General features: G+C 44.0%; 1 protein-coding gene across 4 annotated transcripts in view, besides 6 other annotated features; it reads left to right on the forward strand.

Moving 5' to 3' along the window:
• Positions 5,916-6,416: an enhancer, noted in NCBI's record as "H3K4me1 hESC enhancer chr5:75690574-75691074 (GRCh37/hg19 assembly coordinates)". NCBI's record gives its function as "activates a minimal SCP1, AML or CMV promoter by ChIP-STARR-seq in primed H9 embryonic stem cells {active_cell/tissue: H9 hESC(primed)}" and the evidence as "EXISTENCE:reporter gene assay evidence [ECO:0000049][PMID:30033119]".
• Positions 6,417-6,917: an enhancer, noted in NCBI's record as "H3K4me1 hESC enhancer chr5:75691075-75691575 (GRCh37/hg19 assembly coordinates)". NCBI's record gives its function as "activates a minimal SCP1, AML or CMV promoter by ChIP-STARR-seq in primed H9 embryonic stem cells {active_cell/tissue: H9 hESC(primed)}" and the evidence as "EXISTENCE:reporter gene assay evidence [ECO:0000049][PMID:30033119]".
• Positions 14,134-14,483: a silencer, noted in NCBI's record as "silent region_16103". NCBI's record gives its function as "represses an Ori minimal core promoter by ATAC-STARR-seq in GM12878 lymphoblastoid cells {active_cell/tissue: GM12878}" and the evidence as "EXISTENCE:reporter gene assay evidence [ECO:0000049][PMID:35858748]".
• Positions 14,134-14,917: a biological region, named in NCBI's record as "H3K27ac hESC enhancer GRCh37_chr5:75699075-75699575".
• Positions 14,417-14,917: an enhancer, noted in NCBI's record as "H3K27ac hESC enhancer chr5:75699075-75699575 (GRCh37/hg19 assembly coordinates)". NCBI's record gives its function as "activates a minimal SCP1, AML or CMV promoter by ChIP-STARR-seq in primed H9 embryonic stem cells {active_cell/tissue: H9 hESC(primed)}" and the evidence as "EXISTENCE:reporter gene assay evidence [ECO:0000049][PMID:30033119]".
• Positions 14,452-20,841, forward strand: part of IQGAP2 (IQ motif containing GTPase activating protein 2) — a 304,848-nt gene continuing 298,458 nt past the window's right edge. For 2 of the 4 annotated variants that reach the window (NM_006633.5, XM_017008960.2), the window contains exon 1: positions 14,452-14,758. In NM_006633.5, the coding sequence (NP_006624.3) occupies positions 14,713-14,758 (46 nt within the window). In that variant the 5' untranslated portion in view covers positions 14,452-14,712. Of the gene's footprint in view, positions 14,759-15,490; positions 15,699-20,841 lie in introns of those variants that run through there. The other 2 variants (XM_047416641.1, XM_005248410.4) reach the window with 2 other exon arrangements.
• Positions 14,654-14,763: a silencer, noted in NCBI's record as "silent region_16104". NCBI's record gives its function as "represses an Ori minimal core promoter by ATAC-STARR-seq in GM12878 lymphoblastoid cells {active_cell/tissue: GM12878}" and the evidence as "EXISTENCE:reporter gene assay evidence [ECO:0000049][PMID:35858748]".

Consider the following 20,841-nt stretch of genomic DNA (forward strand, 5'->3'; position numbering starts at 1 on the left):
TAGACCCAGCTGGCCTTTTGGATTCACAGATTTGCATATAAATTAGAGCAAGAGTAAAATAGAACCATAAGCTGCTATAGGGCACATCCCGTGGTTAATCTTTCTCTCTAATCCTACTCAACACTTAGCATATTATCCCACACAAAGGAGATATCCAATAAATTGTTCAATATGTAGAAAAACTGAACAACAGAAAAAGTCCAGCGACTGCTTAAATACAGGACGCATGAGAATTAGAGTCAAACAGTAGGAAGGCTAAAAGGCTGCCTGCACAGTGAACCCCCAGCCACTCCAGAATTGGCTCTGGGCAGAGGGTACAGCAAGTCCTTCCATGCTTCACTCAAGTTTCATTTGTTGTATTGGAGCTGCTTTTCGCACATGCTCATTTCAAACCACAATTTCACCATTGTTGCCAACTCGTCTCTTCTCCATAAGTAAGCATTTAGCTCTCCCGCTTCCATGCGAAAAAGCTGAATGATCCTCTCCAACCCCCTCGTGGCTGCTTCTCTTCTCTCAACAGGTTATCATTTTGACCACTCCCCTCTCAGAGCTTTGCATTAATAATTCAGAAACTGGCTGGGCGCCGTGGTTCATGCCTATGATCCCAGCACTTTGGGAGGCCAAGGCAGGCATATCACCTGAGGTCAGGAATTCAAGACCAGCCTGGTCAACGTGGTGAAACCCTGTCTCTACTAAAAATACAAAAATCAGCTGGGTGTGGTGGTGCACGCCTGTAGTCCCAGCTACTCCAGAGGTTGAGGTAGGACAATCGTTTGAACCTGGGAGGCGGCGGTTGCAGTGAGCCAAGATCGCACCACTGCACTCTAGTCTCGGTGACAGAGAGAGATTCCATCTCAAAAAAAAAAAAAAAAAAAAATTCAGAAACTGCTAAATAGTGAAATGACATGGCACAGTGAATTCTGTCAAAGCTCGCTTCTTCTCAGCGAGTGAGTAGAAGCCAGCATTCAGCTGTGCCCCGCGATGATGTTTTGTTGACCATAGACTCAGCTCAACTACACTATGACCCTTGAGATATTTCTTTTTCTATTCTTAGGCATAACCTGTCATTCTTCTCCCTTTATTTATGCAGCTTGTGTTTTTCCTAACCACTCTCTTTCTCCCGGGTCCCTAGACAGTGGAGCTACCAGAACATGTTGACATAACTTTTGCCCCCTGTCAGAGTTCCTGGCGCTGGAGCCACTGCGGTATGACCTGCTGTTGCCACAGGGTTTTTCTCTAGCTGGAATCATTCTCACCATGGGAGCCTGTCCACAATGGGTGGCACCTAGGAAAGTTAAATTCATGTTGCATTTTGTTTCATGAGACTCTTTCTTGAAGTTGAACTTTCTGGCTCTCTGGAATGAACATGCTTGCACTGAAAGCCTGTGAGAGACTTTCCAAGAGGTTACACAGTGTTTTTCCTTCTCAGAGACATCAGAGTTGATTCTCTTTCCAGATTCCATGCTAATATTTTATATCATTCTGCTATGCTGCTGCTCTGTTATTTTCTGGGTGGAGATACTGCAATGTAGGTGATCATTAATACATATATAGGTCAGGTACCAAGAATTAGCTCTCTGTTACAACCAGATGCTGTTTGGTCATTAGCCAAATATGGGAAATTATTGAACTTCTCCTTTCCAACAGGCCTTGCTGGTATCAAAGAGCCTGAGAGAGGCAAGAAATAAATTTCAGTTTGAGGCAAGTGATAGAAGACAAACCAATAAGTTAATTTTGGAGAGAACTGAGATTAGAGTTAACTATTCATTGATTTGAAAAATATTCACTGGGTGCCTACTATATGCAAGGCACTGGGTATAGAGCCATGAATAAAACTGAAGAGCTGTAAAATCAGAACAACAGATGACTTATGAAGCATTCCAAGTCATGGAGACCTGAGAACTCTTTGGGGAAGAAATGAAAATTACCTGGAAGTAGTCATTTTATATACCAGCTCAAGCTTGCGTCTTTCCTTTTCCTCTTTCTTTCTTACTTTCAAAAAATGTTCCTAAAATAGGACTCTTTCATCTGAGGTATCAATGAAGCCTGTTAGAGGCATCACAGGAGAAGAATCAGTTCCTCCCAGTATGAGATTATAGGGAGGAAGAAAGGAGGAATGTGACCTCTTCCCTTTGTGGTCCTTGGCCACTAGATCCTAGGGATTTTTAAAGGGACTAAGCAACTAAAGCAAGAGAAGTAAACACAAGTGGAATTCCAAAATCTAATTACAAAAATATATACAAAACAAAACCTTTAATTGCTTTGTCTCAAGATCTGTAACAAGGAATAAGAAGACAGCAAAAACAAAGAAAACCGTTGTTCCTATTGTGGGTTATTTTGCTCAAGGGAGGAAGTGGGTTTCAAGGTACCATGCATTGGCTGCGCGCGGTGGCTCACGCCTGTAACCCTAGAATTTTGGGAGGCCGAGGTAGGTGGATAACCTGAGGTCACGTTATCCCCATCTCTGCCGAAAATACAAAAAATTAGCCAGGCATGGTGGTGTGCACCTGTAGTCTCAGCTACTTGGGAGCCGAGATCATGCCTTTGCACCCCAGCCTGGGCCACAGAGCAAGACTCAGTCTCAAAAAAAAAAAAAGGCCGGGCTTGGTGGCTCACGCCTGTAATCCCAGCACTTTGGGAGGCCAAGGTAGGCAGATCACCTGAGGTCAGGAGTTCGAGACCAGCCTGGCCAATATGGTGAAACCCTGTCTCCACTAAAAGTACAAAATTTAGCTGGGCATGGTGGCACGTGGCCATAGGGATTTTGCTATGTTGGCCAGGCTGGTCTCGCTTTAACCTGGGAGGCAGAGGTTGCAGTGAGCCAAGATCGGGCCACTGCTCTCCAGCCTGGGTGACAGAGCGAGACTCTGTCTCCAAAAATAAAGAAAGAAAGAAATAGAAAAATAAATAAATGGAGCATGCATTGAAAAGGGTTATGCAATCACTGAACCATTTTGGAAGAGTTCTTGAAAAATCATACACATTATCTCTCACTCCACCACCACTACCCTATATGCAATTTTTTGGTAGCATAAAACACTTTTGTTCCTCAGAAATCTTCTAGATTTCATAACACTAACTTTGTAGCGTTAATGCCAGGCTGTCACTATACATAGCTGAATTCAATTGTAAACTTGTATTTATTTAGGGAATAAATCACTGTACATAGCCAAGCATGCCAGTATATCTCATTTAAAAATCCAAAACCTGGCTGGGTGTGATGGCTCACGCCTATAATCCCACCACTTTGGGAGGCCAAGGCAGGTGGATCACGAGGTCAGGAGTTCAAGATCAGCCTGGTCAAGATGGTGAAACCCCGTCTCTACTAAAAAAAAAAAAAATTACCCAGGGATGGTGGCACACACCTGTAATCCCAGCTACTCGGGAGGCTAAGGCAGGAGAATCGCTTGAACCCAGGAGGCAGAGGTTGCAGTGAGCCAAGATCATGCCACTGCACTCTAGCCTGGATGACAGAGCGAGACTCCGTCTCAAAAAAAAAAAAAAAATCCAAAACCTAATTTTTGAGGCTAATTACTCTAAAACTGACCAAGACCTTGAAACAGAGTGGATAGTCAGTGTTAGTTGAATTCTATTGAAAATTATATTACCACAGAGAAGCACTAACTTAAGCAGCAGAATAAGAAAAATTTCTAATAATGCTGAAAACAGAATAAAGAATATAAAAGCCATGTTAACATTTAAAAGCATTATTTGTAATTTGTTTACAAATAAGTTAGTGTAAAAATTAGAAAGAAAATCAAAGGGAGCGTGGGTTTTCTGGGCCCATGGGAATGCTAAATGCCAGCTAAATCTTTGGTGATCCTGAAAAGGAATTGCATATGAATTGGGACCAGATTTTCAAAATATCGATCAAAGATTTTATTGCTTATTGAAAGGGAACTGTCACCTGGCATATGAATCCTTTCTACAGCATTTCCAGCATAATGCTTTTTTTGTCTGTTTTTAAAGCACACCTCATAGTTTCAATGAAGCATTGTTCTAGGCCTCAAGTTTATACTAATTAACTGGTTTCCTGAGAAGATATAAACTCCAGACATTCAGAAGAGCTTAATATACCACATTTTAAAGGACACTTCAAGTTAGCATTACAGTTTGCAAAAGATAAATGACTAAATCTGTTCTATTTTGTTTAATTTTACCTCCCAGAATGTCTTCAGTTCTTTCAAGAAATTGTAGAATTCACTCTCAAAGTGAAAACAGTTTAAATTTGTTTTAAGATAACTTAAAGCAACACTGCTACACAACATGTAGAACTTTGAGTGAGAAGAAGGGCTGAGGCTTATGTGAAATCTAACAATAAACATGAAGAGTTTAAAATGACAGAACATGAAGCAGGGTTTCTCTGGTGACTGTGGTGCCTCCCCTCCCCTAAAGGGCCTTGTGGCTGATCAGCGGGAGGTTCCTGTCTTACATCTCAACACCACCACCCTTGTGCTGTGTATGTGGTCTTTGTTCGTATTAAATTCTCACAAAAATATCTAACATGTGACCTGATAAAATAAAAACTCCAACACTCCAACATGCTTCGAATACAGACATCTTAGGAAAATGAAAAGCTTTCTCAAACCAATTGTTTTTACTGAACCTGGCTTAGAAACTACACAGATCAAATGATAATCTCTGTATGCAGTAGGCAGATACTTTTTGTTGATGTCGCCACTTGTCAAGACCCAAACAGATCTATTTAGTGTCAAATCTTTGTCGAGCACCTACTGAATGCTGGATAAAGTTCAAATTCCAACTCCCTGAAACCTCTCAATTTTTAGACTCTCAAAGTCTCTAGGAAGAAAATACTAGTTTAGAATTCTACTCATGGAAGTGAGAAAGAAAACTTTTTAATCTGAGGGAGGTGAGCCCCTTTAAATTATCAGGCCCAGAGAGGCATTTAAAATATAACAGGGCTGGCTCGGTGGCTCACGCCTGTAATCCCAGCACTTTGGGAGGCCAAGGCAGGCAGATCACTTGAGGCCAGGAGCTCGAGACCAGCCTGGCCAACATAGAGAAATCCCATCTCTACTAATCATACAAAAATTAGCCGGGTGTGGTGGTGAGCGCCTATAATCCCAGCTACCTGGGAGACTGAGACAGGAGAATCGCTTGAACCAGGGAGGCGGAGGGTGTAGTGAGCCAAGCTGGCACCACTGTACTCCAGCCTGGGCAACAGAGTGAAACTGTCAAAAAAAAAAAAAAAAAAAGTAACAGCATTCATGTCTCTCTCTTCCTTGAGCTACATAATTATCTCTTGAACCAAATATGCTTTGTGGGCTCCAGACTGATACGAAGTAGCCATAAAAAATGCCACACATTGTATAGTTCTACAATGTATTGCCCATCACTAACCAATGTTAGTTCCGTAAACCACGAGAATTCTGAAAGAACAACTTTTATAATCACTCCCTTTCCTGATTCATCTTTTTCTTTAAAAACTTGAGCTTCTTGGCCGGGTGCGGTGGCTCACGCCTGTAATCCCAGCACTTTGGGAGGCCAAGGCGGGCAGATCACAAGGTCAGTAGATTGAAACCATCCTGGCTAACACGGTGAAACCCTGTCTCTACTAAAAATACAAAAAATTAGCTGGGCATGGTGGCAGGCATCTGTAGTCCCAGCTACTAGAGAGGTTGAGGCAGGAGAATGGTGTGAATCCAGAAGGCGCAGCTTGCAGTGAGCCGAGATCGCACTACTGCGCTCCAGTCTGGGGGACAGAGCAAGACTCCATCTCAAAAACAAAACAAAAAAAACCTTGAGCTTCTCTTTTGTTTTTTGGAGCACTCCCCAAGGCAACTCGGAAGCGTGTCCCAAGCTGCAGTCCTCGAATAAATTTACTGGCCCAAATAAACTATCTATATTAATCTTTGCCTCTGCTTCTTTCTTTTAGGCCAACAGAAAATCAGCAGGCTTTCAACAGCTATAACTTCCTGCACTGCTGTTTTGGACCCTTTGAGGTTACTTGTTTTGTCTACTATTGTGGGAAATAAAAGCAAAATCTGGGAACCCCAGATGCTGACTTTTTTTTTTTAATCAAGGAAACAATAGAAACATAAATAGCAACTAAGGTAGTATTTGCTAAAGACTCAAAGTCTTATAGTAGGTAGTTAGTCAGACATGAGCAGGCAGGAGAGGGCCCCCCAACCCACACCAAGAATGTCAGGTGATCATCAGGTGATGCTCAGGCAGTTGTTACACTGTCTCTCTAAAATAATAATCGGTTGCAGCCAAGGGAGTCTCCCAAGAGATAGAAAAACCCTGAAGCTGGTGATCAGCAGCATCCCAATAAGATCTCAGGAGTTGGGTGAGTGGGCTCAAGCATGTGCACTCTGAGGCAAAATGGCAGTTAATTGGTATACGACCTTCTTTTAGGAACACTCAATTGGTAAGGGAAAAACGCCTCAAGTGAGCCTGTGCACAATTGCAGTAAACACACCGTGCCTGCAGCCCCTCCCAAATGTTGACAGGCCACTGTGCATGTGGACAGCCAACCCCAAGGGAAGAATCATGGGAGAAGGGATGCGACCCCCTGAAAGCATGTCAATGTATAAAATCCCAAGTCAAAGGTCAAATCATGCACTTGAATCTCTCAAGTTGTCTGCTTGCCCTTCTTCCAAGTGTACTTTACATATTTCCTTTCCTACTCTAAAACTTTTTAATAAACTTTCACTCCTGCTCTAAAACTTGCCTCGATCTCTCCCTCTGCCTTATGCCCCTCAGTCGAATTCTTTCCTCTGAGGAGGCAAGAATTGAGGTTGCTGCAATCCCATTCAAATTTGCCACTGCTAACAAAAGGAGAGTACTAATTGCTGACCTAAAAGGAAGAAGCTGACCAGGCACCGTGGCTCATGCCTGTAATTCCAGCACTTTGGGAGGTTGAGGCAGGAGGATCACTTGAGCCCAGGAGTTTGAGACCAGCCTGGGCAACATGGTGAAACCCCATCTCCATAAAAAACTACAAAAAAAAAAAAAAGAAAAAAGAAAAATTAGCCATGTGTGATGGCACACACCTGTAGTTCCAGTTATGCAGGAGGCTGAGGCAGGAGAATCACCTGAGCCTGGAAGTCAAGCCTTCAGTGAGTCGTGATCATGCCAGGGCAACGGAGTGAGACCCTATCTCAAAAAAGAAAAAGGAAAAAGCTGAGGCAGAATTAATATAAGCAGAGAGTTTATTTGGACTAAGCTTGAGGATTTCAACCCAGAAGCATAGACTCAAGTTGCCCTGAATATACACCCCAATTAGCAGCAGTTATAAGTAGGCTTTTAAAGGAAGAGGCAGTTAGTTCATAAGTTGTTTACTAAGAATTACATTAAAATAACATAAGCTATTGATTGGCTATACGTTGCTCTTTGTATCACAAATTTCAGGAACGTGAAGATAATGGGTGAAGCAGCTGTCAGGAATAAAATGACTATTTATTTATTTATTTATTTAGAGACGGAGTTTTACTCTTCTTGCCCAGGCTGGAGTGCAATGGCGCGATCTCGGCTCACCACAACCTCCAGCTCCCTGGTTCAAGCGATTCTCCTGCCTCAGCCTCCTGAGTAGCTGGGATTACAGGCACCCGCCACCACACCCAGCTAATTTTTGTATTTTTAATAGAGACAGGGTTTTGCCATGTTGGCCAGGCTGATCTTGAACTCCTGACCTCAGGCAATCCACCGGCCTTGGCCACCCAAAGTGCTGGGATTACAGGCGTGAGCCACCACGCCCAGCCTTTAAAATGACTTTAAACAATTGCCCCCAGGCATGGAAGGGGGCATGAAGTCCCATACTCATGTCTCTCTGGGCTTGCATACCTCACAGAATTCAGCCTGCTATGAGCTACTTTTTTTTTCTCACAATAACACTGTATGGTATTTGATAGAGGAATTCAGAGGAGGAAGCAAGCAAACTAAATTGCAAGAAGGAAAGAAACAGCACAGAAATCACCCTTGCAGCAGTCCAGGTGTAAGATGGTGTGAGAGCTTGAATCAGAGTAGTGGTGGGTGATGATGGGCGCCAAGAAGAAAGAAGAGACATCAGCAAAGGAGAGTGATAGGAACAAAAAAATCACCAAGGCTGAGGGACTGACTGGATGCTAAGGAATGATTCCAAAGGAATGCAAAATGATTGAGGTTTTGAAACTAAGTGACTGAAAATGTGTATATTAACAGGGTATGGAAATCAGAGGAAAGACGTGTTTTAGTAGATGAAGAGCAAGATGGAATTGAACAATTCTGGTTTCGTCTGTGGAGTTTGGGGTGGCAGTTTTATTTATGGTCTGACAAAATGCAGTCTTTGGTGATGTCTGCCTCCCTTGCCGTGATATTGTTTGGTTCACTATTGGCTTTTGCACTTGGCCAGGGGCTGACCAGATCCAGATGTGAAGTTAACTCTTAACAAACAGTAACTGAGCATTAGGAGCTGGGTAGCAAAACAAAACAAAACAAACAGAAAAACTTGATTCTATTTTTATATTTTTTTTCCTTTTTTCCTTTACAGAATGGGGTCTTGCTATGTTGTCCAGGCTGGTCCCAAATTCCAGGCCTCAAGTGATCTTCCACCTTGGCCTCCCAAAGTCTGGGATTACAGGTGTGAGCCACCATGCCTGGCCCAGACTTTATAATGAAGGAGGATCCACCAAAATGCATAAGTAGTACTTTATGATAGCGTGGCAATTTCTGCTTCAACAATAGGCCAGACATACGGTCAACTCTTCATTCATTCATCCATGAAGAGCTATTCCTTGGTAAGTGTGAACAGGAGGATTAGGAGTCCCTAACCAATCCCAAAATCGAGATCCTGGTCATCAGCAGGTGGTTCTTAGCAGCCCCCTAGGAAGCAGCTGAGTTTTAGGGTAGAAGCTACAACTCTTTCAATAAATCATGAGCACCTTCCTAGAAAGACATACATGTTTGCATATTCATATTGCCACCACCAACATCTCACTGTGGCCTTGTTTTGAAATAATAGATTTCAAAATCTATAGATTTGCCTCTATCGAGAAAACTTAACAAATCTGAACTTTAAAAAGTGGTAAACCAACAAACTAAGACATTACTTTTATTTTGAATATATTAACAGAATACTTGTTCCTTAAAAAAAAAAAGTTTTGAGAAGCATCACAAACAAAAGAAAGACATAGAGGATAAAACATCAAATACTTATGTACATACTCCCTGAATATAACAAATGTCATATTTCCTCAGGCTTTTAAAAAGGAAATTAAATGTTAGATATATTTGATGTTCCTTGTCTACATCTTTGGCTTCCATTTTCTTCCCTAATTTCTCAGAGATTATTTCTATTCTGAAATTGGTATGTTCTTCCTGTACATGTTTTTTATACTTTTACTATATGCACCTAACCCAACATATATTATGTGCTATTATTTCATGTGTTTATAATTGTACATATATGGTATAACATTGTATTTATCATTCTCTATCTTTATTTTATTTAATTTTTTTGAGATGGAGTCTCACTCTGTCACTGAGGCTGGAGTGCAGTGGTGTGACCTCGGCTCACTGCAACCTCCACTTCCCAGGTTCAAGTGATCCTCCTGCCTCAGCCTCCCAAGTAGCTGGAATTACAGGTGCCTGCCACTATGCTCGGCTAAGTTTTATATTTTTAGTAGAGATGGGGTTTCACCATATTAGTCAGGGAGGATCTTGAACTCCTGACCTCAAGTGATCCACCCGCCTCAGCCTCCCAAAGTGCTGGGATTGCAGGCATGAGCCACCATGCCTGACCTTCTCTTATTTTTCTATACCACGACATCTGCCCATCCATCCTGCCACAACAGGCCATTTAAGTTGTTTCGTTTTTCTCTGGAGTGAACATCCTTGTACATGTCCTCCTGTATGTGGGGGCTTCACTAGAGCACCTTAATAGATGTGAAGTTGCCAGGTTTCATGAAATGTACATCTTTACTTTAACTAGAGTTGACCAACTTATTCCTCGAAATGGTTGCTCAAAGTTACGTCCCCCTTAACACTGCATGAGAGTTCCCGATTCCCCACACTTGTTAAACATTTTTGGCACCTAACGGGTGCTTTCATTTTCATTCCCTGATAAATCGTGAAGCTTTATTCAAAATATCCAAGCTCTTGTAGGTCACTTAGAAGTTTGTCATCAATCAATTAATACAGAATCTTCTAGAAGGGAATGAGTCAGGCAGGGAAGATTAAAGCTAGGACAATAAGCTACTGCCAAAGATAGATCAATCCAAGATTAAAATAAAGTATACTTGGAGTATGGTCAATGGGAAAGCATAAATGATTTTAAAACATTGATTCAGAACAACTTTACAGGTATATGGCAGAGAGCCCTTTAGTAAGCACCATTCAGATTTTGTCTCATTCATGCATAAAGATCAATAAAGAACTACAAGGGATTAGCAATAAAACTATAATCAGAACTATTGCCTGGATACAAAATGGACCCCAGGGTCTATTTTGGCAAATAGATGATGGTAACTTGGGGTCATTTGTAGTACGTCCTTTAGTGTTCACCTAGGAAAAGACAACATGTATTTGGTAAAAGGCAAAAATGTTGAAAACTGTAGTTCAATTTATCAGTTTCTGTTGGGGAAACTGTGTGGACTCAGATAAACCCAGCTCTGCCATATACTACCAGTCTCTATGAGTCTGTTGCTTTACCGTTAAATAAGGATATCTCTATCTTCTTCCCAGAGTTGTTACCAGAATGAAAGTAACAACTATTTCTAGTATAGTGACTGGTGCATATAATTTATCATAGTAAATTCATGATTGCAACAAAATAATTGAGCAGCTACTACATGCCAGGCATTGCTACACATCCTGGACACATAGCAATGATGAATTAGACCAAGTTCCAGTTGTCAAGAAGCTCAAATTCTGCCTGGCATGGTGGCTCATGCCTGTAATCCCAGTACTTTGGGAGACAGACACAGGTGGATTACTTGAGGTCAGGAGTTCGAGACCAGCCTGGCCAACATGGTGAAACCCCATCCCTACTAAAAATGCAAACACTGATTGTTTCATTCATTTCTGATTCTTTTTAATTTTTTTGTAAATTTGAAGTTGAACTGTAACAGTTTTCTTTTTAGACATAGGAATCTCCTTTGCAGTAAAGCGTACTTTCTATTTCTTTTCAGTATCTCTCTTTTTCTGGAAATGGGAGCAAGTTAGAAAATTTTAATAGCCCAAGTGCTCCCAGTACTTTGAAAAAGGCTTGAATAATTTCTTTCCTATGATTTCCTCATTCCTCATTTCTGGCGACAGTCACTATTTTGGGTATGCATGTAAAATTGATCAATAATGTGATATTATTGGAAAATAACCAAGTCATCTCAAAGGCAAATATAATATTAAAGTGTGCTAAGATTTTTCCTGAGACATACTTTTTTTCCCTTTCGATGCTCTTGATATAATCTGTTATTTTAAAAATTGCATTTTCCCAAACACCTTTATTTCAACTTGTCAAAAGAAAACAGATGGGCCTTAAAAACAAAATTTTTTAAAATAATATTGCTTAAAAATTGTTTCAGCATGTCTAGTAGTTTATTAGTGTTGTTTTTTGTTTTACATTAAACAAAAAACCTTGCTTTCTTGAAAACTTTTTTTCACTAGATGGCCTTCATTTTTGTTTCTAATATTATTGCAAGCACAATCAGATGGCAAAGTAAGCTGACGCATTGCCTTGTACCTATTTGAATATTCTCCAGTATCAAATCCTAAGAGAAAATAGTCCAGCATTCTGCAGACAAATTTCTTTTCTGAGATGCTGAGGTGAAGTGGCCTGTGAGACAGTATTGTTATTACCCAATGAGTGCAGACCAAAATGCCCATGATTAATGCTAGCACTTGCAAAATAACAAGAGCATTTGCCTTTCCAATTTCGTCTTAGTGTTTTAAGTTCTTCATAAAAACATGACCCACGACAGGGCCTTGAAGCCACCTCAGATTCTTCAAAGAGCTGACCAGCTAGAACATGAACTTAGAACTACTGCCCTCCCAATCACCTATTTACGCTTTAACCTTCACTTTCTACGATTAACAGATATTTACTTTACTTAATCTACTTGTTAGTGTGTATAATATCTATACATGTTGATGGCACCAACTTGAGTATATTAAAACACCCCCTTCATCTCCCTTACTGATATCAGCCTCATTGAGGCTCTTCTTACCTCTCTCTTCAATCTCTGTCCAAACACCTTCCACGGGGCGTCAACATCTCCAAGTTGTCCCATCCCAACCTATCCTATGACCTGCTCCAATATTCTCCTTCCCTAAACTCCCTTGCATTCTGCAGCTTCCATACTCAAAACCTTTAAGATCTCTTGAATGTTTCTACGATAATCTCCGGTCCTCTTAGCCAGACACTCAGGGCCCTCCACAACCTGATGACAACTTCATAGCTCCAATCCAGTCCAACCAATCCAGCTCCAACCCAACCTTGTGCTCCACCTCATTGTTTCTTTCCCTTGGATGCTCTCCATCCAGCTTTTACCACACTTCCACTTCAAGCCACACTTTCAAACCCTGTCACCTTCCTGGACCATTTTAGTTCAGAGTGATTTTTTCACCCACCTCTAAATATATAGACTACTCATTTATTTGGGCTCTAAGTCATACACTCATACGAAAATTGTTATGTGTAAATACTTAATTGTTAACACTTGACAAATGCAACAACAGAAATGGAATGAACTTTAGACATCATTTAATTCAGCATCTCCTGACATGCACGAAAATCCCCTTCCACATTTCTCCTTTGGGTGAATATCAATTGACAGGGTGCCGAGCCTCAAATGTGGCCATTTCGCCTCTGAATTGTTCTTAGACTGAGAGGCATCTGCTTTTTAAGAAAGGAAAACTCCATTCATCCCATTCCAAACAGGTGAGAATCTAATGCCATCAGGGAAAAAAAAAAAATATTTTGCTATCCCGTCTGAATTGAGAGTTCCCTGTGTACAGTTTACGTCCCTGTGAGCATCTACCACTCACAGAGCCACCCTAAGCACGCTCTGCAGTGTCAGCATCACCTGGCAGTATGCTAGAAATTAGAAATGCAAATTCATGAGCACCAGCCCAGACCCATTGAGTCGGAAATTCTGAGGGTGGGGCCCAAGAATGTGAGTTTCAACAAGTTTGAGAAGGACTGCGTCTCCTATATGAAATGGAAAACAGCTGCTCATCCTCTGTATCCTTGCATAATAAAAAATGATTAGTGTCACTATGCCACCATTTCCTCAGCGAAATAATTTCCATCCCCCCACCGCCTCCGAGGGTCTTGCACTCTCACCCAGGCTGGAGTGCACTGGTGCAATCACAACCCACAGCAGCCTTGTCCTCTCGGGCTCAAGCAATCCTCCCACCTCAGCTTCCTGAGTAGCTTGGGACTGCAGGCGCAACCACCACGCCCGGCTAATACGGCTAATATTATTTTTTCATTTTTTGGAGAGACGGGGTCTCGCTATGTTGCCCAGGCTGGTCTGGAACTCTTGGGCTCAAGGGATCCTTGTGCCTCGGCTTCACAAAGTGCTGGGATTACAGGCGTGAGCCGCCGCGCCCGGCTCTAAATAATTTCTTATCGCCCTCCCTCAGTTTGTTTTTCCTGTTATCGGGTCACCCACACATTCCACAATTGTCAAATAGGTGAGGGCACAGGTACGGAAGCGTCCCGCATTCCCTCCAGATTTTATCACGCTGAGACACAAAGAGAAAAATAGCTCCTGGCGACCGCATGAAAACCCCGATTTCAAAACAGCCACATGCAGTTTAATTTCCTTAAAAGCTTAGCCGGAAAAGGTTTCTGTGGCTTGCGACCCCAGCTGGGCTTGAGAGAAGGCTCTGCACACTGGGGCGGGGGCGGGCACAAGGTGATCGGAGGGAGGGGGATGACTCGCAGTTGTGTTTTGAGTGGTTGCCTTGGGTTATCTTGTTCCTCCAGCACACACACACTCAGTTTCTTGTCATAAGGGGAACCCTGTTATTTTGTAGACAAAAAGTGACAGAAGCAACTTTCGAAGCAAAAAAAAAAAAAAAACAAAAAAAAACAAAACCAAAAAGACGAAGAAGAAGAACAAAAGTCAACGTGAAATCTCCCCAGAGGAAAAGGAACCGCGCTGTTTGTCCCTCAGTAACTGAGCAACACCCCGGACACGAAGGGCTCCCTGTGACTTCTGCGGTTTTTCTTGCACTTCTCCGCGTTGGTTCACTTCCACCCTCGAAACTCTCCAGAAGCGAGAAATAAGGCGGGGTGGCCGCCACCCCCAGGCCACCAGCTGTGCGGGGGCCCCAGCTGCAGGGGGTCCCGGCCCAGCGTCCCTCTCGGCCCCTTCCCTCTCCCCCGGGGGAGAAGGGGCGGGTCCACGCGGCCTGGGCGCTGCGCCCGACACGCGGTAGGGGTCGCTGCGTCTCGGCGCGCGCTCCCACCGCGGTGAATAACGGGGCCTGGCTGGAGGAGAAAGGAAACCTGCTGCGGGAGGCGGCGGCGACCGGCCAGGGAGCGAGGGAGGAGAGTTCACTTTTACTTCAGTGTCAGCGCGCGGCGGCCGTGGCTGGCTCTGGCGAGAGAGCACCGAGGGAGTGGGTCGCAGATCTTCGGGCGGCTAGGGGAAATCGGCGAGAGGCGGGATCCGAGCGCGCCGGCGGGGCGCAGAGCCCGCGAGCCTGGCCAGCGAGGGTAGCCGCGGGGGGCGCGCCCCGGGCGGGCCCCCGGAGACGCGCAGGATGCCACACGAAGAGCTGCCGTCGCTGCAGAGACCCCGCTATGGCTGTAAGTGCGCCGGGCGCGCGGGGTTCCTGCTGGCCTTGGGGAGCTCCCTCCCCGAGGACGGCGTTGGAGAAGCCGAGGGAGCCGGTTGCGCGGCGCAGAGGAAATTGGAAGGCAGCAACTGCGCGGCTGGCAAAGTTGGGAGCTGGAGTTGCAAAGGGCAGTGAATCGCGTCCCCCCGCTCCTCCCGCCCCCCAATTCCTAATATCCAGCTGGCAACCCAGACCCTCCACTCCGCATACCCAAACGGGGTGCGCGGGCAGTGCGGGGATTGCGCTCTGGGACAGACCAGGTTGGGATTTTAGGGGTATCAGGTGAGGAGTCCGCGGAGCTCCGGGTCGCCGCCGGCTTGGGCCAGGGGGTGGCGTAAGGCACCGGATTCTTCCAACCCAGAAGGGGAGGAAAGTTTGTTTGCTGTGGCTACAGGTGGGCACCGCAAGTAGGGCGCCGGCGCACTCTGCTAGTGCAAAGCCGGCTTGACTGGAAGGGCGGGAGTCTCCTCCTGTCCCGCGCCCTCGAACTTCACCTGACCCGCTAGAGCCATTGGCCTCACAGGTGTAAGTCCCTCCCCTCTGAAACCCCCCAACCCCTTTCCCCCCCGCTCCCCTCGCGCGGGAGGATTGCTGTGTGGAGAGGACGCGGCACTAGGCTCCGGGGAATCCGGCGGGAGCCCGCGTGACTTGAACGAGATGGTGTCGATTACCCAGCCAGGGGCTGCCCTCGGAAATAGGTTGCTTTGGCCGATCGTGAGTGGATGGAGCCAGATTAACACCAACCACGTGGCTTCATGTGCAGAGTTCAGAGTCCTAAACATGTGCCAGGAAGCATTTCCTTTAAAACAAACAGAAAGTTGGCCTGCTGTCTCTCCAAGGTGGCCCTGTCAGTGAACCCAAGGCCGAAGACCACAGGTTAATCTTTGCCCAGGCTGGCCTTGGTGGCAGAGGTACCAGGTTTGGGTTAAGGTGGTGATACCTTCAGCAGGGTGTTTTGTTTGTGTGTGTGTGTGGTTTTGGATGGTGCGTAAGGCCACTGACTTGCTTAACTGAAAAAGGGCTCCTCAACTTGTGTAGGTTCTTTCCCCTCCTCCCCGCTGGCGTGTCAAAGATGGGAGGTTATCTTTCCTGTGTTACCCTTGCAGTGAGGGGGAGGCCTGAGGACTACAGCCTCTGTACTCTAATGCATTCAGCAGTTGACTGAGACCCAGCTTTTTGCCTTTTGGTAAACCACACAGACAGCAGAGCCTCTTGGGTTCAAGAGGGAACGCTGTGCTCATTCAGTGTTTGCAGTGCCAACCTCAGGTGGGACCCAGCTTTTTGCCTTTTGGTAAACCACAGATACAGCAGAGCCCGTTGGGTTCAAGGAGGAATGCTGTGCTCATTCAGTGTTTGCAGTGCCAACCTCAGGTTGGTGGAAGTACTTTAATGTGACCAGCTCTCAGAATATATGGTGGCTTCACTGTGTCAAATGATAAGATAACCACAAACTTCTGCAAACTAGGTGAATCTACATGAACAAATGATTTCTTGCTATCACATGATTGATGTCGGCCCTCATGAGCAATAAATAGTGCAAAATTTCCGTGAATGTGGTACATGAATGCAGCATTTCTGTCAGTCCCTGCATGTGCATCTGTGATGCTGCTTGATTTTCACGGAATAAATCTGTGTTTTAAGTGCACTCCAGAAGAAGCTATCAAGGGAGTCCAGATCTGGCAAGCCTGAAGCCCACTCCACAGGGCCGCTTTCTTTGGAAATCTTCATCCAGCTTTCTTCACCAATGTGGTGTAAGGGGGTGGTGTGCCATCTTGTTGGAATCACTCCCGGTTACTTTCCCTCCACTCATCAAGTGCTGGCATTCAAGTTGGTCACTTAACACTGTCAAAATGGAAAATATTTGCCTATGTTTCCAGACTTTCTTGTCACCCTGAAATATTAAGGCTTTAATATGACAGTTATCTCATTAAAATGAACACTTTTATAATTTTGGTTTATGAATGGTGTATTTTCAGTGTATTCAGAACATGATATCTAGCAGAATAGATTTTGGCGTTAATAGGCATTACCTAACATTACCTATTCATGCAGAAGAGGGCTATTTGGTGTGTTAGTGTAATTTCTGGTTGTTGTTGGCTTTCTGAGCCTCCTATCAACATGAGACTGAAAATCGTGCTGTGAGCTCTTCATGGGAAGGCTAGGGAAGGATAACACAGGATTGTCCTTGCTCTGTTGTGTTCTAGGGCTGTGCTTTTTCTTGTTTATTGGTTTGGTAAATACAGTTTCAGTAAAACCTCAAATTATAAGAAACAGGTGTTACCCCTAGCATTTAAAAATAAAGTAGCAATACATTGTAATTTCAGTTCTAGTGCTGAACGTTCTGAGTATAAGATGTTTGAGACTGGGCTTTAAACACAACTTTTTGGTAGTTTGAATTAAGTTGTCTATTGCTTATTTTGGGTCTGAGCTTCTGTTCTGCTCTCTCTCCTACCCACTTGACTCCTCATTTAATTCAGTAGTTCTTACACAAAGTAACTAACTCAGCTCAGGGCTGCTATGGTCTTTCTCCTCTGTACCAGACTGAATGTCTGTAAAAGGCCACATAATAAATTGTACTTGAGGGATTTCTCAATGAGTTCTCCATGAGGCCTCTGACTCTTCTCAGGTTTCTGACAGATGCAAGATTGCTGAAGTCGCCCTGATTTGCACACAGGAGCACTGGATTGAAATTAAATAGACTATTTTCTATTTAATTTCCACTGTTATTGGCCACATCTTCCTGCAATCTGTGAAGCTATTTTTGTATAATGTTAATACTACAAACAAAGCTGAAACAATTCAGTAACACAATTCTGAAGGGAAGAGGTGGAAGAAGGAAGTGATAGTAGGTAGCTGTTTAAACTAATGCAGACATAGACATAGTATGTACTATATATTGTATGTATAGTATTTTTCTATACTCAACCAAATTAAGATGACACTTACGCTTAGGTGTGATTTGCGAATAACTTGTGTTGTTGTAATGGATTATGATGTATCTGCCAAATTAATTCTGAAAACACATTGCTGCCATGATCTGTCGTAAGTTTTGTTCCAGTTACTTGAGAGTTAAAAACACCAGCAAGAGCAAAAGAGGGGTTTGTGACTAGGCAGATGACTTCACTTACCACTGATAACCCAATCAACACTTAAGTGACTACAGTGGGTCTCCAATGATTGCATAGGCAAGAACTGTGGTTTTCTACACTACAAGATTCAGAGCCTTCCTTTCATGAGATACATTGTACAAAAATTGGGGATCAATGTTTCACTGTTTGCTTCTTTTAAAAAGTGCAACCTAAGTCCAGCATGTTGTGGGGGCGGGGAAGGGGAAGTTGAGAAAGATTCTGGTTGAGCATTATTATTATTTTTTTTTTAGGCAGTATCTTGCTCTCTCACCCAGGCTGGAGTGCAGTGGTGCAATCATGGCTCACTGCAGCCTCAAACCTCCCAGCCTCAAGCTGTCCTCCCACCTCACCCTCCTGAGTAGCTGGTACTACAGGCACACATCACCACACCTAGCTAATTTTTGTATTTTTTTGTAGAGATGGGTTTTCACCATGTTGCCCAGGCTGAGCTCAAGCAGTCCTCCCTCCTCAGCTTCCCAAAGTGCTGGGATTACAGGTGTGAGTCACCACACCTGGCCTGATACTGTGAGCTTTTGGGTACTACTCTCTGCTCTTATCTGAATAGTGAAGTTACTAAGTTAGTTACCTGGAAACTGGAGTTTTGGGGTGGTCAGTGCAACTAAACTCTTATCCATCTACGATGACCAATCTGAGATGAAATTTAAGTTCTGAAGTAGTTAAACGCAGTTGTGTAAAAGGTGATTGAATAAGTCGGTATTTAGCATAGCTCAGCTGTAACATCCTATCAGTGCTTTCGTTTGAACCATAGAAAGGTATACGCAGCCTTATCTTGAGATACTGTCTTCAGTAGACAAAAAGTCAAGCTGCTCCCTCATATGCTGGTGTTTTGGTTGAGCTTTTCAAAAGGATCTTTAAGGTCAACAGCTAAAGTGTTATTTTAGTATGGTTTTAACTTTAATTACACATGCTGTTAGCCAGAATGACTTGTTTGGGAGAGTTTAAGCTTGTAATACCGAGTTTGTTTTAGAATTTAGTGTTATTTGGGGTGTTAACTCCTTTTTCTCTAGGGAACCAATGACTTACTATTGCCATCTACCCTCTTACTACACAAGCTTTTTAACAGCCCCTTCTATTTAAAAGGCTGGGCATGGTGGCTCACACCTGTAATCCCAGGACTTTGGGAAGCCAAGGCGGGTGGATCACATGAGGTCACGAGTTTGAGACTAGCCTAGCCAGCATAGTGAAACCTTGTCTCTACTAAAAATACAAAAATTAGCCTGGTGTGGTAGTGCATGCCTGTAATCCCAGCTACTTGGGAGGCTGAGGCAGGAGAATCCCAAATAGGGGAATCCCAAGCAGGGGAATCGCTTGAACCCGGGAGGCAGAGGTTGCAATAAGCCGAGATCACGCCACTGCGTTCCAGCCTGGGCGAAAGAGCGAGACTCTGTCTCAAAAAAAACAAAACCTAGTATACAAACAGATCTAATGCTTACCATGTCTTCATGGTAACCAAAAGAGAAACAAAGGCTACTCAACGTCTGATTTGATAGGGTCAGGTAAGTCCTACAGGGCAGGCAGTTTAATATGGGATATGGAACAAAGGTTTGTGAACATACCAAGGGCTAGGTGCTTTTCATGTGTTACTGTTATCATCGGCTCATTATGGCCTTTGAGAGGGCCAGTGGTTTTCCATTTCACAAAGAAGCTGAAACCCCTAGTACTATGTCAAGGCCACCCTGCTAGCTGGTGGCAGAGGAACTTGAAAGCAGCACTGTCAGATCCTGGAGCCTTTCCTCATTGACTGTTGCAACTTTGCTGCCCCTGAATCATAAATGTTCACCCCTTCTGTGTCTTTAAGTAGTTTGTCATGATTCTCTCAAGATGTAGAAACCTCTAGCTATTTATGCTGGATGTGGTGGTATACACCTGTAGTTACAGCTACTTGGGAGGCTGAGGCAGGAGGATCAAGATTTCCAGGCTGTAGTGTGCAATGATTACAACTATGAATAGCCACAGCTCTCCAGCCTGGGCAACATAGTAAGATCTGCCTGCCCCCCACCCAACCCAATCTCTCTTATTTATTTATTTATTTATTTATTTTGAGATGGAGTTCCACTATGTCACCCAGGCTGAAGTACAGTGGTGAGATCTGGGCTCACTGCAACCTCCACCTCCTGGGTTAAAGTGATTCTCCCATCTCAGCCTCCCAAGTAGCTGGGACTACAGGAATGCACCACCACACCCAGCTAATTTTTGTATGTTTTAGTAGAGGTGGGGTTTCCCCGTGTGGTCAGGCTGGTCTCGAACTTCCTACCTCAAGTGATCCGCCCGGCTCAGCCTCCCAAAGTGCTAGGATTACAGGTGTGAGCCACCACGCCCAGTGAGACCCCATCTCTAAAACAAACAAACAAAAAACAACAACACAAAAAAACCTGTGGCCATTGGATAGTGTGCTCATTTATAAATAGATGCATAAAGTTGATTTTGCTGCTGAATTTTTTCCTCCCAAGAAACAGCATAGAATACATGGGCTTTTTTTTTTTTTTTTTTTTTTTGAGACAGAGTCTTGCTCTGTCACCCAGGCTAGAGTGCAGTGACATGATCTCAGCTCACTGCAACCTCTGCTTCCCGGGTTCAAGCAATTCTCATGCCTCACCCTCCTGAGTAGCTGGGATTATAGTCATGTACCACCATGCCTGGCTAATTTTTGTATTTTTGGTAGAGATGGGGTTTCATCATGTCGGCCAGGCTGGTCTCGAACTCCTGAGCTCAAATGATCTGCCTTCCTCAGCCTCCCAAATTGCTGGTATTACAGGCATGAGCCACCATGCCCAGCCTTACATGGGCTTTTCATAGAATACATCCAAGCTTCATCAAAAGATTTTGTGTATACTTAGAAACATCCCATCTCTTACTGTGAGGTGCTGAAGTGAAAGGCTTTTCCATAATAATATAGTGATGTGCC

This window comes from Homo sapiens, chromosome 5 (assembly GCF_000001405.40).
Source record: "Homo sapiens chromosome 5, GRCh38.p14 Primary Assembly".
NCBI lineage: Eukaryota > Metazoa > Chordata > Mammalia > Primates > Hominidae > Homo > Homo sapiens.